At 54.2% G+C, this 14,031-nt stretch overlaps 1 protein-coding gene and 1 long non-coding RNA gene across 10 annotated transcripts in view, besides 5 other annotated features; one reads left to right on the top strand and one right to left on the bottom strand.

The window, feature by feature from the left end:
- Positions 1-14,031, bottom strand: part of RHOBTB2 (Rho related BTB domain containing 2) — a 69,387-nt gene that overhangs the window by 14,253 nt on the left and 41,103 nt on the right. For 2 of the 9 annotated variants that reach the window (XM_047421609.1, NM_001160036.2), the window contains 4 exons: positions 13,767-13,879; positions 11,308-11,386; positions 1,321-1,522; positions 472-575 (listed from right to left, as the gene is read on the bottom strand). In XM_047421609.1, the coding sequence (XP_047277565.1) occupies positions 472-575; positions 1,321-1,522; positions 11,308-11,363 (362 nt within the window). In that variant the 5' untranslated portion in view covers positions 11,364-11,386; positions 13,767-13,879. Of the gene's footprint in view, positions 1-471; positions 576-1,320; positions 1,523-5,841; positions 6,400-8,857; positions 9,176-10,064; positions 10,107-11,307; positions 11,387-13,766; positions 13,920-14,031 lie in introns of those variants that run through there. The other 7 variants (XM_047421611.1, XM_047421607.1, XM_047421610.1 and 4 more) reach the window with 6 other exon arrangements.
- Positions 1,142-1,666: an enhancer, noted in NCBI's record as "H3K4me1 hESC enhancer chr8:22861794-22862318 (GRCh37/hg19 assembly coordinates)". NCBI's record gives its function as "activates a minimal SCP1, AML or CMV promoter by ChIP-STARR-seq in naive H9 embryonic stem cells {active_cell/tissue: H9 hESC(naive)}" and the evidence as "EXISTENCE:reporter gene assay evidence [ECO:0000049][PMID:30033119]".
- Positions 1,667-2,192: an enhancer, noted in NCBI's record as "H3K4me1 hESC enhancer chr8:22861268-22861793 (GRCh37/hg19 assembly coordinates)". NCBI's record gives its function as "activates a minimal SCP1, AML or CMV promoter by ChIP-STARR-seq in naive H9 embryonic stem cells {active_cell/tissue: H9 hESC(naive)}" and the evidence as "EXISTENCE:reporter gene assay evidence [ECO:0000049][PMID:30033119]".
- Positions 5,690-5,739: a silencer, noted in NCBI's record as "silent region_19019". NCBI's record gives its function as "represses an Ori minimal core promoter by ATAC-STARR-seq in GM12878 lymphoblastoid cells {active_cell/tissue: GM12878}" and the evidence as "EXISTENCE:reporter gene assay evidence [ECO:0000049][PMID:35858748]".
- Positions 6,070-6,239: a silencer, noted in NCBI's record as "silent region_19018". NCBI's record gives its function as "represses an Ori minimal core promoter by ATAC-STARR-seq in GM12878 lymphoblastoid cells {active_cell/tissue: GM12878}" and the evidence as "EXISTENCE:reporter gene assay evidence [ECO:0000049][PMID:35858748]".
- Positions 6,142-14,031, top strand: part of RHOBTB2-AS1 (RHOBTB2 antisense RNA 1) — a 46,187-nt gene continuing 38,297 nt past the window's right edge. The window contains exon 1 of the long non-coding RNA XR_007060857.1: positions 6,142-6,268. This is a non-coding gene — a long non-coding RNA (RHOBTB2 antisense RNA 1). The remainder of the gene's footprint in view (positions 6,269-14,031) is intronic.
- Positions 6,460-6,719: a silencer, noted in NCBI's record as "silent region_19017". NCBI's record gives its function as "represses an Ori minimal core promoter by ATAC-STARR-seq in GM12878 lymphoblastoid cells {active_cell/tissue: GM12878}" and the evidence as "EXISTENCE:reporter gene assay evidence [ECO:0000049][PMID:35858748]".

Genomic DNA, 14,031 nt, shown 5'->3' with positions numbered 1-14,031 from the left:
AGTAAGGTTACGGGCAGAGAAACAAGTGGTAGCTTACCTGGTCCTGGAACATCTGCCCCACCCCAGCCCTGTACAGTCCCACACCTGGCTTAGGTATCTGCTCACGTGCTCTTGACACAAAACATATAATCACAATACCTCCAATTTATGTGCCACTTTAGAGCTCAAGACTTGTTTTGGCCTCACAGCTATTTTGTGAGTTAGAAATGGCTGTTTTCACCACTTCACAGCTGAGAAACATCATCTCAGAGCTACTAGGCACAGAGCTGGAACTCAATCCAGGCTTCCTGATCCCGGACCCAGGCTCCCTTCACTGCACCAGGCTGCCCCAGCCCCCATGAGGCTCTGCCAGAGCTGTTTTCTCCACTTCTTCTTGCCAGCTGAAATTTCACAGAGGTGCTTTGTTCCTGGGAAAAGCAGGGAAAAACCCACCCTGTTGGTTCTCTGCAGGCGGCTAGAGGCCTTCCCTACCTCCCATAAGCAAAGCGACGGTCTTTGTGGTGGTCTCCAAAGGTGTCCCAGAGGCGCAGAGAGACGCTGACATCATCTACCACGTCTCGGGAGCGTTCCAGCACCTGGGGACGGGGAGGAAGAGTGGGACTCGAAGGCAGCAGTTTTGGGGACCTCTGCGTGCCACCTCAGGATAAGCGCCGGCTGACACCTGGGGGCCCCAGACATCACTGGGCATGGAGGGACAAGGCTGGCATCGCCCACTGTGCACCCTGCACAACTTTCATCCACGTAAAATCTCTGTAGAATCTATAACAAGGGTGGCCTCCAAGCTGACCAGGAGTGGAAGAGACCCTAAGCAGGTGGAAGAGACACTAAGAGGGTAGCAGAGACCCTAAGGGGGTGGAAGAGACCCTAAGGGACTGCTATGGGTGTGGAAGGGGCCTCTTTGGGAGCTGACCCTTGTTCCTGGCTTTCCTTGCAAACTGCATGTTTGTGAGCCTCTGGTCTTTTGCTATCAGCTGCCAGCTTCTTTGCTCCTCTCAGCTTGTATCTCTTCCAAGCCCCAGCCCTCCAGTGCTCCCCATTACTTAAGGCTGTGACTACATACAATGCGGTACCCCAGACAAAGATGGAGTCCCAGGCACCAGCTCAGTCCCTGAAAACACAACCAGCCAGAGACACTTCCCTGGGGCAGACTTGGCTTAAACCTCTCTCCAGGGGCTCCTTCCTCTTCAGCTGCCCCCAACCCATCCTGTCCCACCCCTAGAGGGCTCCCGTGAGCTCTGGAGACACCAAGCTATGCCTCAGGAAGCCCCCAAGCCCAGACTCATGGCGTGGACCCCCAGCCAGGTAGTCCTGCAGCCTTACCTCCTGGCACACACGATATTGGTCGATGGCCCATACTGTGGGCACATGCGTGGCCAGCAGCTGGTACTGGGTGAGGGTGGCATTGCAAGCGCGGGCACAGATGAGCCTGGTCTTACCCACGGCGTTGTCCCCCACCACAACGCACTTGATGGTCTCTACGTTTGGCCTTTCATAATCCATGTCAGAATCCATTAAACGGGACCTGAGGGAGAGGAGGGAGGCGGTCAGGACGGCATGGCATGCCAGCTCGCCGTGGGCCAGGGCCAGCACCCGCAGCTCTCCTCAGCCAGGCTGCCCCCTCTGCAAGCCCCGGAGCTGACAGGAGGAGGAAGGAGTGGGCAACGTTCTGGGCAAGAGCTCTGCGAGGGTCCAAGGGGCCAGGAGCCCATTCAGGCTGAGAGGAGCAGTGTCACCAGATGGGCCACCTGTCCCCTTCCTGCTCCCACGATCCTCCAGCTGTGCGTCTGGATGAAGGAGACCTACGCGAGATCACCAGTGGAGCTTGCCGAGGCCCTGCCCTGTCCCCTCTCCAGAGAGGGCAGCTCACTCATCTGCTCTCCTCCTCCTTCCCCGGCAGAGCAGTGGCAGCAGAACAACAAACAGCTGAGAGAAGCAGAGTCGGCCACGTCCCCACCCCTTCCCAGCATGCCTGAGGGCAGGGCACTTTAAAATTTAATGGACTTGTCAGAACTGGGCAGCAGCTCTCCTGGCCTCCACTCTTTCCCTTGCCCTCTCTGGTGGTGGTGGATTTCCAAGCCCTAGCCTGCCTAAGTGCATGCTTCAACCCCAGACCCCAGTCCCCTTTATGGAGATGCAAGAGTTTTTCCTCCCAGCCTCTCTAGGATGGGGAGGTTCCTGGATGCACCTGACCAGCCCAGGGGCCTCCCTTTCTCTATTCGGGGTCTGTCCTGTTGCCCATGTGTCATGCTCAGCTACAGGTCCAGCTTTCAGATGCGGGTGAGGGGAACCACAGGCCTATGATGATACAGTCAGTGGCCAATGGGCCTCTACTTCCCCTACGGGGGGCTGTCCTCCCAGCACCCTGCCCCCAGCGTCAGAGAGTGAGATCCACCTCCACCCTCTTCTGCCCTTCCCATTCCTAGGGAGGATGATCCTCAGGCTGAAGATCCCAGGCAGCTGGCACTCCTAGGTGATGTTCACTAAACTGGCTACATGGGCGATGGGATTGCCAGAAAGCAAAAGATCAGAAATTTGAGCCTGAATTTCTGGGCAAATGCTTGCCTCAGTTGCCTTCGATGTTGAGCAGAGAGGAAGTGGCTTGTCCACCCCCAGAGAGGGATGGCTTGAATGAACAAACAGAAGGCACTTCTGTAGTCAGATGTCATGTTCGTGTTTAAAAATCTGTCGCCAGGAGGCCCTGGCCTCGGCATCCACCCTCCTGGGATTAGGGAGCAGGGGCAGGGCCAGCGTGATTAGGACGCTTGGTTTCGCCAGCGTCATCTGCCCGCCCCACTCACATTCCTGTGTGTATGAAAGTCGTCTGGGGGGGCTTTAGCAGCCCGGAGTCATCCCTCCTAGGCTAAGGAAGGCTGAGCTCTGAGTGCTGGAGGCTGCCCAGGCACCCTGGCTGCTGAGCCATCCAGCCCAGAGCCAGGCCACCAGCAACAACAGGGAGGCTCCATTCCTGCTGGGCTGTAACTGGATGCCAGCATGCAGGGATGCAGACCGAAATATCCAAGTAACGATAGCAACTGGGATCCGTGCGAGTGGATGCATCTCAGCAACCTAAGCAAAAAGTGCAGCAAGGACTTCTCAATGAGACAACCTCCTCCGCCTTTTTGGAATGTTACAGGATCTGGACCCTTCAACGAGGTCTCCATGCAGTGCCCTCATGGTCTCCAGGGCAACTGTACCACCCCTTCTCTCTCCTAACCCTCCCTCAGCAGACAACCGTTTTTTGTTTTTGTATTTTTTTGAGACGGAGTTTTGCGCTTGACACCCAGGCTGGAGTGCAGTGGCATGATCTCGGCTCACTGCAGCCTCTGCCTCCTGGGTTCAAGTGATTCTCCTGCCTCAGCCTCCCAGGTAGCTGGGATTACAGGTGTGTGCCACTATGCCGGCTAATTTTGTATTTTTAGTAGATACGGGGTTTCGCCATGTTGGTCAGGCTGGTCTTAAACTCCTGACCTCAAGTGATCTGCCCGCCTTGGCCTCCCAAAGTGCTGGGATTACAGGCGTGAGCCACCACACCTGGCCCAGAGAACTGTTAAGAACTGTTATTCTAACCACAGGCTTCCTCCTCCCAATTCTCTCTCCTGAACTGAGGACCGGGAACCCCACTTTGACAGTTCCTGATCTCAAGTTGAGGAATGTGCTGGCGCCAGGAGGCAGCATCTGGGCTGTGGTTTCTGTTTTGTCGAGTGAATACCAAAACAGATATAATCCCAAATACAAAATATGTGCAGCTGGAGGATAAAGATTAAAACCCAAGAGCCAAAAGAACTTCTTTCTCAAGTTCCGATTCTCCCAGCATGTAGGTCTGTAGACAGAAGCGGGGGAATGAGGAGGCCTAATGGAGGGATGCCAGTTCTCAAATTCAGGAGCACCTTGACAGTGAGAATAATGCCAGAACACCAGCAGAGCAGTGCTGGGCCAAGTTCAGCTACTTTGTGATGAAAACACTGCTGCCCACCTGTGCTATGTCACCTCTAGAGTTAAGCAGTGGTCAGCCAATCAACAAGTGGAAATTGACAAATACTGTGCCATGAGTTTAGACATCAGACCTTCTGGGTTGCGCAACCCCTTCCATCCATTCCCCAGCCCCTTCAGCAGTCCCCTTGTCCTTCAGCTGCCTCTCTGTTTGTATCATCTCACCCTTTCTACCCTGTCCCAACTGCCTGACTGGCAAACTTCACTGTCCTATCTAGGAAGAGGCAAGTCACTTATATTTTCTGGGCATCAGTCTCCCCCTCTGGGAAATGGGTATGAAGACATTGGAAGAGTCTCCTGAACCGTGGTTAATTTGTGCCAAGAGAGGCTGGGCTGAAAGGAGGTATTTGTCTTCTTATGTAATGTGGTATTATATAATGCTAGATTGCATATCTATATGTGTAATTATATCTGTCTTTAAGATACAGACTGGCCCAATTCAAGTGTTAGAACTCTTAGTCTAATCAGGCCTGTCTTAAAGGAGGATCCTGTCCTGGAGAGAGTGTGCCAAGAGTAATATAATTTTTGCCCTAGGATGTTGCTGATGTTGTATCATTGCTGATGTATGGTGATACAGCCCACTCATTGCTGATATATGGTGATACAGCCCATTCAGTGAGCCTCTCAGCTTCCCCTCTCCCTCCGGCTCTCTCTTCTTCCCTGACTCCAGACTCTCCCTCACAATTGCCTCATCCCCACTCAATCAACCTCCATAAACTATGACCTCCTCACCACCCAGCCCTGGGCATCACAACCCCCAACTCACTCCTCTTCCATGACAATCGCAAAGTCACTGGCATGTGTTCCTTCCATCCCTGTCCCATGATCCCTGTGCCCCTCCAAAAACAGCCTCCTGCCCACCGCTCTCCCAGCTCTTTGTACTTGGTGCAAGCCAAAACCCAAGGTGTGCTGAAATTAGCTACAAACCTCGTGCTCTCCCAGTCCCACCCCCACACCCCTACACACACTCTTTGCAGAGCTCAGAAAGGGCCCCTTTCCCTCCCACAGCTGATAGGAGGCTTGTTCATCTGTGGCTGCCCTAGTCTGGTTGTCAAGGAAACAACAGAATCTCCCTGGGAGCCTGGCTTGTCTCCTAGCAACCAGTATCCCACATCATCTTACAAAATGGGAATGGGAGGAAAATCCTGAAAATGAAGGTAAAATCAAGGGAGATGGATTGAATGGAGAATTGGAAGGAGAAGAACAAAGAGAGAGTGGACTCCTAATTCGGGGAGGCTCCCACGGGGGTCGCTGGCATTGCAAGAAGCCCCGTGCAGATCCAACAGAAAGCAAGGCCCAAAGGGACCCTGAATGGTCAGATTAAAGAAATGCAAGCCTAAACACAGATAAGCCCCCTCAAACCTAAAATGTGGACACATCACCAAACACCGCCAAAGATCTCCCCAGTAGTTTCACAGAACTCAGTTACATAGACTGCAATGGAGTTGAGTTCAAAGAACCAGCTCCGGAACCGCCAGCAAAACACCCCAATTCCACTGTTGTTTTGTGTTTGTTTTCTTAACAGAATCACTCCCACCACTCTGGACCGTTTTTCCTTTTTTCTGACACGCTACTCTGCACACACACAAAATAGAAATTTAAAAATTTTTAAACATCGAGAAGGGGGAGGGGCACGACAGGCCGAAGCAATCAAGTCATCTTCCTTTCCCTAGAAACACCGGAAAGGATTAGGCTCCAGCCCCGCTGTACCCAGCAGCCGAAGCCAGAGCCCAGGGACTAGCGGGGCCCGGGGAACGTAGCGAGGGGCGCGGCAGGGCAGGGAGGGCGGAGCGGCGCGTCTGCAAGGGCTGCTGGCCACCCCGCCATAACCGCAAGCAGCCATCTACTTACACCACTACATGTGACGGGGTGGCTTCTAGCGTGAGGAACACATCTCTTCCTGCTGAGCACGCTCATTTTAGTGAAATGTCAGGGGTCCCTCCGCGCCTGCAAGTTGGGACGACGCCGGCGCCGCCGCGCTGCTGCTGGGCTCCAGCCTCCCGGCCAGCTCGCGGCCACTCAGAAACTCCGGCAGGGCAGCCCAGGCCGGACGTGGGCCCAGGAGCGGACGCGCGCGCTGCACTGCAGCCGCTGCCCCTTCCGGATCAGCATCGCCCCGCGCGCCAGGCGCCCAATGTCACGGCGGCGCGCGGAGCCGGGCTGCGGAGGCAGCGGGCGGCGCGCAGGGGCGCCGGGAGAGGGGCGAGGCCGCCGCCGCTACGCGCCCGGGCCCGCGGCGAAGGCGCTGCCGCGAAGACGCCTGGCGCTGCAGTCCCAGGTACCGCTCGCGACCTCCTTTTTTCATTCACAAAAAAAGGATAGGGAAAAAAAAAAGAAAAGAAAAAAACGGGAGGGTAAAAAAAGGAGGAGAAAAAAATCGCACCCAAGACGACAGCCGTGACGGGCCCCGCCCACTGCCGCGCGCAGTTGGTGGAAAGCGTTCGGGGGGCGGGGAGGGGGCGGGCGGGGGAAGAAGGGGATTGGACGCCCCGCAGATCCCGCCTCGCAGCACCGCTCCCGCCCACCGCCCGCGCTCTTCCGCCCCTCCCGCAGCGACGCCGCGGGGAGGGTCTCGGCTCGCGGGTCTGGGTGGCGCCGGTCCCTCCACCTGGCGAGGCGCAAAGGCTCTCCGGACGCCCACGGGGTTTTCCCCTTTCCTTCGGGAGGCGGGGGAGAACCTCTGAGAGGCATCCTAGTGCACCCTGGAAGGGATGCTAGTTGGAGGAGAACGTGTGGTTGTAAGCCCAGGCCCCCACCACTTGCCCACGGGGAGGCGACGGCAGGGGCAGTCGGGGGGGCGGGGGGCGGGGGCCGGGTAGGGACGAATAACCGGCGTTTCCATACAAGCCCTCTGCTGCTTTGGGAATTTTCGTGGCACTTGAGAGCCTTCCTCCCTCCATGGCCCTTAATGAGTTGTGGGGTGGGTACCTGTACCACGTTACCTGTCTCCCACCTAGGCCTTCTTCAGCGGGTCCCCACCTCCATCCCATCCCCCTCCTGTTGCCTCCTGGAGTTCAGTAATAGCTGCTAATCTCTGAAAGAAACACCATGAAGTGAGTAGCCTCGAAAATCGTCCCTAAGCCTTCTTTGGGTTTTCTGCCTCAATTTACCCCTCTGTAAAATAGAGAGATTCTAAGGTATAACATCTATAACCTGAGGGGTCCCTAGAAGACACTTTCCATATTCAAGGCTGGTTTTATCAGGATAATCTTTTTTTTTTTTTTTTTTTTTTGAGTCTCCCTCTGTTGCCCAGGCTGGAGTGCAGTGGTGCAATCTTGGTTCACTGCAACCTCCGCCTCTTGGGTTCAAGCAGTTCTGCCTCAGCCTCCCGAGTAGCTGGGACTACAAGTGCACGCCACTATTCCCAGCTAATTTATGTATTTTTGGTAGAGACGGGGTTTCACCACCTTGGCCAGGCTGGTCTCGAACTCCTGACCTCGGGTGATCTGCCTGCCTTGGCCTCCCAAAGTACTAGGATTACAGGCGTGAGCCACCATGCCCAGCCAGGATGATCTTGACTGCTAGTGTTAAGTAGTCAGCTCAGTCTGGTTTGATTCATCTCCTCAGTTACCTCTGGACAATTTTTAAAGCCCAGACCAGCCTGCCACCCACCTGAACCGCCTCCACCACTCCTCCATCTTGTGCTCTGAAAATGCAAATCCACTCTAATATTAGTTTATGCAAAATATGATTAGGAAGAGAAATTTACTGCCAAAAGAAAGCCGGGTTAAAAATGAATTTTGTGTTGTCTGAAGCATGCTTCTCATCTGTGAATGCATATACTTGGAAGCTGTCCCTCAAGGTGTTTGTGATCAACGTGCCTACCTACCTGGTCAATGTACAGGAAGTGCTCGGTTGTTGGAGGATGCTTCTCCCACCCCTTTCTCAATCTACTCAGAGCTAGCCAAGAGGTTAACAATGACTGACAGTGCTACTTACTTCTCATTTCTGGTTAGAACTCACCCTCCATAAACCAGAAAGTACTTATTTGAATACATATTTAGGAGAGAAAGTAAACCATGCTCACACATGTTCTTCCTCCACATGTTTGGCATTGAAGAGACTTACCCCATCTTCTGTGTGCCAAAGAGCCCCTGCGCCAGAGAAAATCATAACTTGAGATCTCTGCATGATTCCCACGGCAGGCCAGGGTCTCTCCCACGGACACCCTGTTCCCTCCACCCACCTCCAGAGACCAGCTGAATGCCAGATGCCAGTTGACATCACCTTTCACCTGTCCTGGCAGGACCATAGCCCCTGTGGAGCAAGGAGTAGGAAGACAGAACTCCCGTCCACCCAAAGTCATGAAGCAGGAGAGGGTGGCTGCTCGGACTGTAAGCTAGAGCCAATGCCCTTTCTGCCTTGGGAGAAAAAGCCAGCTCAGCCTGGAAGCCTCAACCAGGCTGGACTGTGTGAATTCCAAGGTGTAGTGTTGATTGGGGTGGAAGGGTCTTGGACAAAAATGTGGGTGTCAAATGAAATTGCACCCCCACAGCCCCCGCCCCGCCCCGCTCACACTCAGTGAACTGTTTCAGGCAGAGGCAGGAGCTTTGCTGGGGAGGTTCCCTCAATTCCCAGCCCTGCTTTTTGCATGCAGTTCCCTCTTTCAGCCTTTCTCCAAATCAAAGTCCTTCCCCATCATTTCACCTCTAGGGCTGTCATGGTTGGCGCCCCAATCAGTTCCCTCTTATCATCAGAGTTCCTCCAAGTCCCCACCTTCTCCTACCAGTGCCCCCCAGCCCATCCTCTGCAGCCCCTTGTCACTGTCAAGCCGCCCCATCCATGTCCCACCCTAGGCCGTCTGGGGACCTCTGCAGACCTCCTCCTCAGGCCAGCCTGCGAGGAGCTCCAGCGGTTCACTACTCACAGCTCAGATGGCAGCATTCCCCACGCTGTATGAGGGGCAGACCACTAGCAAGCTGCAGCCGCCGGCCTGTGCCCCAGTTGTGGCTAAAACCAGGCCTCTTCCCAGCCAGCCCTGGCCAGGACTGCCCCGGGACCCCCACTCTGCTATTCAAGACAGCCTCCAGCCCCTGGTACCCCAGCTGAGGATCTGGCACGTCCCTTCATCTTTGCCCATCTCTCCAATGCCAGATCCTGGAAAACAGGGCCACTCCCAGAGGCCAGGCTTCCCCACCAGCAAGCAAGGTGCTGTTGGGCCTTCTCATGCCCATCCCTGTCCCCAGCTGTTAGCACCCGGCAGGCAGCAGCGTCTCACAGCACAGGAAGCCTCCCACTCCCTTCACTGCGCCCTCCCACCCCAGGCCCTGAGGAGTCCATTTTCCTCTATTCAGGTGACTTCTCAAGGCAGGCCTGGGTGGGAGACAAAAGCTCCTGGCCTCTTTCTTTCTCTGCCTCCTCCATTCCGTTACATACACAGACACACAGACACACACACACACACACACACACACACACACACACACACACACACACACACACACACACACACACACACACCAGCCCTCTCTGCCCATTTGCTGCAGCTTGGAAACACTGGTGTGATTCCGAGGAGCAGTTCAGCCTGAGCACTGACTCCCCCCATTGCTGGCTTCCCAAATCTGCTTCTGCTGGTGGGTCTGGCAATGTCCTGCCATGTGCCTGGCTGCGTGGCTGTAGCCCAAGGGCTTCCTGGCAGCATGGAGGCAGGTTCCATTCTACAATCTCCTGCCCCTGCCCAACCCCAGCATCTCTTCCCTCACCAAATCCCTCTTGTGACCCACCTCCCCAGTGACATAAACCCCTGGAACCTGTCCCCAGAAGGCACCCCCTCTATGCCTCCCCACACCACCCTCCTCCAGGCCATCACGCGGCTGCTGTTTTCCTGAAGCCGGGCAGATGCCTGCCTGTGAACAGGAGGCTTTTCTGGGGAAAGAGAAACCTCCATCCTGGCTCTTAGCAAAGCGCAGCAGGCTCCCCGGCCAGTCCCACCAGCGTTGCTCTCCCTGTGGCTGTGAAGGCCCCTTCCCAGTGCCAGCCCAACGCAGACCGCCTGGCTCAGTCCATCCTCCAACCTGCACCTTCCCTTTGCTTCACAGGCAGCTTTACCCTTCAACACTTTGCAGGCTACTAACCGCGCTTTCATGGCACCCCTCTCCTGGAACACTACAGCCTCTGCGGAGCCCACCCCATGGGCCTTGTGACATGAGCTCCGCCCCCCATCCCCTGCCATGTGCAGGCTGGGGCACGTGGTGTTCCTACCCTGCAGCTGGGGCAAAGTTCAGAACCAGCCATGAGCAAAAGCAGAGGCATTTCAAGATGCAGAGCCCCAGCAGGGTGAAGGAGCTGAATCTGGAAAGCCTAGAGTCTCTCAGCCTCCCTGTCCAGGCCTTAAGGGACACCATCAGGTCCCCACAAGGATACAGGAAGCTTCTGGGACTTTGCACAAGCAGTTCTTCAGTCCGAACACTCTATTTCTACTCCTTTCACCAGATAAATGTGTACTCATCTTTCAAGTCTCAGCCTAGATATCACTTCCTCCAGCAAGCCTTCCATGAATACTTTCTTACACTTGACAAAGTGTAACTTTCCTGTTCTTCCCCTGTGCTCCCCTAATAATACCAATCACACCAATCTATCATTGGGTTCTTCTCTGTCCTTGATTGTACTGAGAACTCCCTGGGACCGGCAGGGGAGCTTTCGTAAGAGCCAGGATGCAGATTTCTCTTTCCTCAGACAAGGTTCCTGCTCACAGGCCAGGAAGCAACACTATAATGCTTGTTCAGGCCGGGTGTGGTGGCTTATGCCTGTAATCTCAACACTTTGGGAGGCCGAGCTGAGAGAATAGCTTGAGGTTAGGAGTTGGAGACCAGCCTGGGCAATATAATAAGACCCTGTCTCTATTAAAAAAAATTTTTAAAAAAGATAATGCCTATTCGAAAAGGTATTTTGAACCTGGCGCGGTGGCTCATGCCTGTAATCCCAGCACTTTGGGAGGCCAAGGCAGGTGGATCACCTGAGGTCAGGAGTTTGAGACCAGCCTGGCCAACAAGGTGAGTCCCCTTCTCTACTAAAAATACAAAAATTAGCTGGGCGTGGTGGCATGTGCCTGTAATCCCAGCTACTCGGGAGGCTGAGGCAGGAGACTCGCTTAAACCTGGGAGGCAGAGGTTGCAGTGAGCCGAGATCACGCCATTGCACTCCAGTGCAGTGGGTGAAGAGTGAGACTCTGTCTCAAAAAGAAAGGTATTTTTTTTTATGTTGGTCTAGTGCTTGCAGTCTAGTGCTTCAACAAACAATTTGGGAGTTGCTTAATAAATGCTCGATGGATGAATCAATGTTTGGGAAGGGAGAGCACAGTACACAGTAGCTACTCACATGCTGTCTGAAGAGGTCTTCTGGGGGCCATCGGGGCCTTTTCTCCAGGCTTGCATCGCTCTGTGTTCCCTCCAGGCTCCTGGTTGTGAGGAACAGGAGTGGATGGGGCGGGGCAGGGGAGACAGAGGGGAGAAAGGGAATGAGCACACCGCGAATTACTCCAAGGTCGCTCAGCCCAGATAGAGGGCCCTACTCAGGACAAGAGAGCGGCCCCTGATGTCCGGGTCCAGCGCGGGGTGAGACCCCAGCCTGGGGGCCAAGACCAAGGCCACCCAGGGAGTCAAGGGACTAGATGAGAGGCCGAAACTGGGGTCCTGGTGCATCATGTGCCTCAGGCATTTGTGGATACTGAGCTGGTTTGGCGATTTGGAAAAGAGCGGTCAGTCATGCATCGGAGGCCTGGATTCTGCCTGCACAAAGCTGCTTGACACTGGACAATATCCTTCCCTCTCTGGGCCTCACTTTCTCATGGACAAGGGCCAGGTCAGGTGACCTCCAAGACTCATTCTGGCCCTGATATCCTCTGTGCGTGCCCAGCATGGAAGGTCTATATTTTCTTGGTCATTCTTTTCATTGAAACATCTCCTGACCCAAATTGAGACTCAGAAAAAGACCAGCTGATGGCCAGCATGGCTGAGAATGGAAGGAGGAGGTATTTTTTGGAGAGAGAGTGAGGATTAAACACATGGTAAGAGACAGAAAGAGAATCTAATTCTGCAACGTCCCCACCTTCAGTTTCTTTAAATGGTCAGTCACAGTCTTGGGACCAGTTTAGCCAAAGAAAAGTCTAGAATTTCAGGAGAGATTGGAAGTGATCAGGGAAGAGGTTAGAGATGCCAGGCAGACAGCTCTGGAGGTTATTGGCACTGTGTGGTTCAGGGAGGATGGAAGGGCACTTCTGTGACAACCCTTCAGGGGCAGGGAAGCCAGAGAAGCCAAGAGAAGAGGAAGCTCCCAGGAGTGAAAAGAAACCAACGCAGAGGAGCAACCAATGAACTCGGTGCCAACCTTGGAAGTGGCTGTGTGACTTTGAGCAAGAACCTTAATCTCTCTGGTCTCCCTTTGGGGAGATCACATTGTCCCTTACCTGAAGACAGGGGTGGCTACATGGCCTTCTTCCTGTCCCTTCCAGCACTGACACCCTTCTAACTCCTTCTCCACTTGTGCCTGCTCCCCCTCACAGACATAAGCCCCATGCCCTGGGTAAAGGGGGAGCCACCTCCCATTTGTGCCTCTGCCATCTGGGCCGTGTGTGGAGGGCAGACAGCACGGAGAGTAAGGGCCTAATCCCCCAAGATCAAAAAATCCCATGTAGAACCGGATGCAGTGGTGCACGCCTGTAGTCCCAGCTACTCTGGAGGCTGAGGCGGGAGGATCTCTTGAGCCCAGGAGTTCGAGGCTGCAGTGCACTATGATCGTACCACCGTACTGCAGCTTGGGTGACAGAGCAAGAACACATTCTCCCCTCAAAAAAAAAGAAAGAAAAAAAGAAAAATCCCATAAATCCCATGCGCACCTTGGCTCTAGTGCCCTGTGGGTCTCCCAGAAAAATGAAGCCCAGAACAGGGAGCACCAGTCAGAGTTCTGACAGTGGGGTCCTCCCGGCTGGCCAGCCTCTTGCAGCCATTCTACAGCCACATCGTGCAGCTGGCAGAGCTGCTCCAAGTGGGACCTGAAGAATCCACTTCCAGTCTGGTCTGGCCAGGCTACGCCTAGTCCCTGCTGGCAGAGGTGTGGGCATGCAGACTCCTGTGCCCATTCCCCCAGTCCTCCCTACCCTGGCCCTGCCTCCCAGGAAGTCACAGCTGGCCAAGGCCTCCATGAAACATTTATTGCATCTCTGAAACATCTCCGACTTCAGTAAAGAAATTGGGGCATGGTTTGTGTCTTTCAAGAGCTCCAATTACCACCCTTAATGACGTGAAACACTGCATGCAAAGGAAATGCATGATATATATCAATGATTGTTGATCCACTCTAAGTCCCCTGGGATGGTGATATCTCAGGACAGGGCCTGGAAGCCACCATCAAGCAGGTCTGCAGCAGAAAGAAGCTAGATCCTGTGATTTCCACCCTGTTTTCTAGGCAGAGAGGGTACAAGAGGGAGACAAAAATGCAAATTATAGCCAGGGCTTCCAGGTCTAAGACTCCTTCTCCTTGACCAAGCTGCAGACCTCCTGAGAGAGGGCAGGTCCCATTCCTTAAGCCCTGCAGAGCTGGGAGTGAGAAGCTCTGAGGAGGCTGATCACCCCAAAATAAACTTGGTTTTTTTTCACAACTTTTTCATGAGGCATTAGCATCTCTTGCAGCATGGAAAAAAAATAGCCTGAACTGTTAACAAATAAAGATTATAAAAAGCCCCAACTGTTCCCCATGGGTTTCTATGTGGCTGCAGTATTTAGAGGGGGCAGGGGAGATGTGTGTCCAGGAGCCCCCCCATCTCTTCTCCTCTGACCCACCTCTCTCCTTTGGTAGTTGGTTCTGCTCACAGGGATGACAGTTGATGTCAGGGATGAGAAAGTTATATGTTGACCTTCAGAAGTGGTCCACTGCGCGTGCATATTCTTGTTTACTGCTTCCAGATAAAGGAGTGCGTGGAACAGAACAGGCTGCTTAAAAACATGATCACATTGCAATGAGGCTGGTTTCAATTAGGCTGTCTGACTAGGGGTACAGGATCTGTGTAGTAAACACTTGGAAGACTCAGTGTTCTTATCAAGGTCA

The sequence above is a fragment of the Homo sapiens genome, chromosome 8 (assembly GCF_000001405.40).
Source record: "Homo sapiens chromosome 8, GRCh38.p14 Primary Assembly".
Classification (NCBI taxonomy): domain Eukaryota; kingdom Metazoa; phylum Chordata; class Mammalia; order Primates; family Hominidae; genus Homo; species Homo sapiens.
Note: the sequence above shows the minus strand (reverse complement) of the source record. Positions and strands in the feature narration are given on the sequence as shown.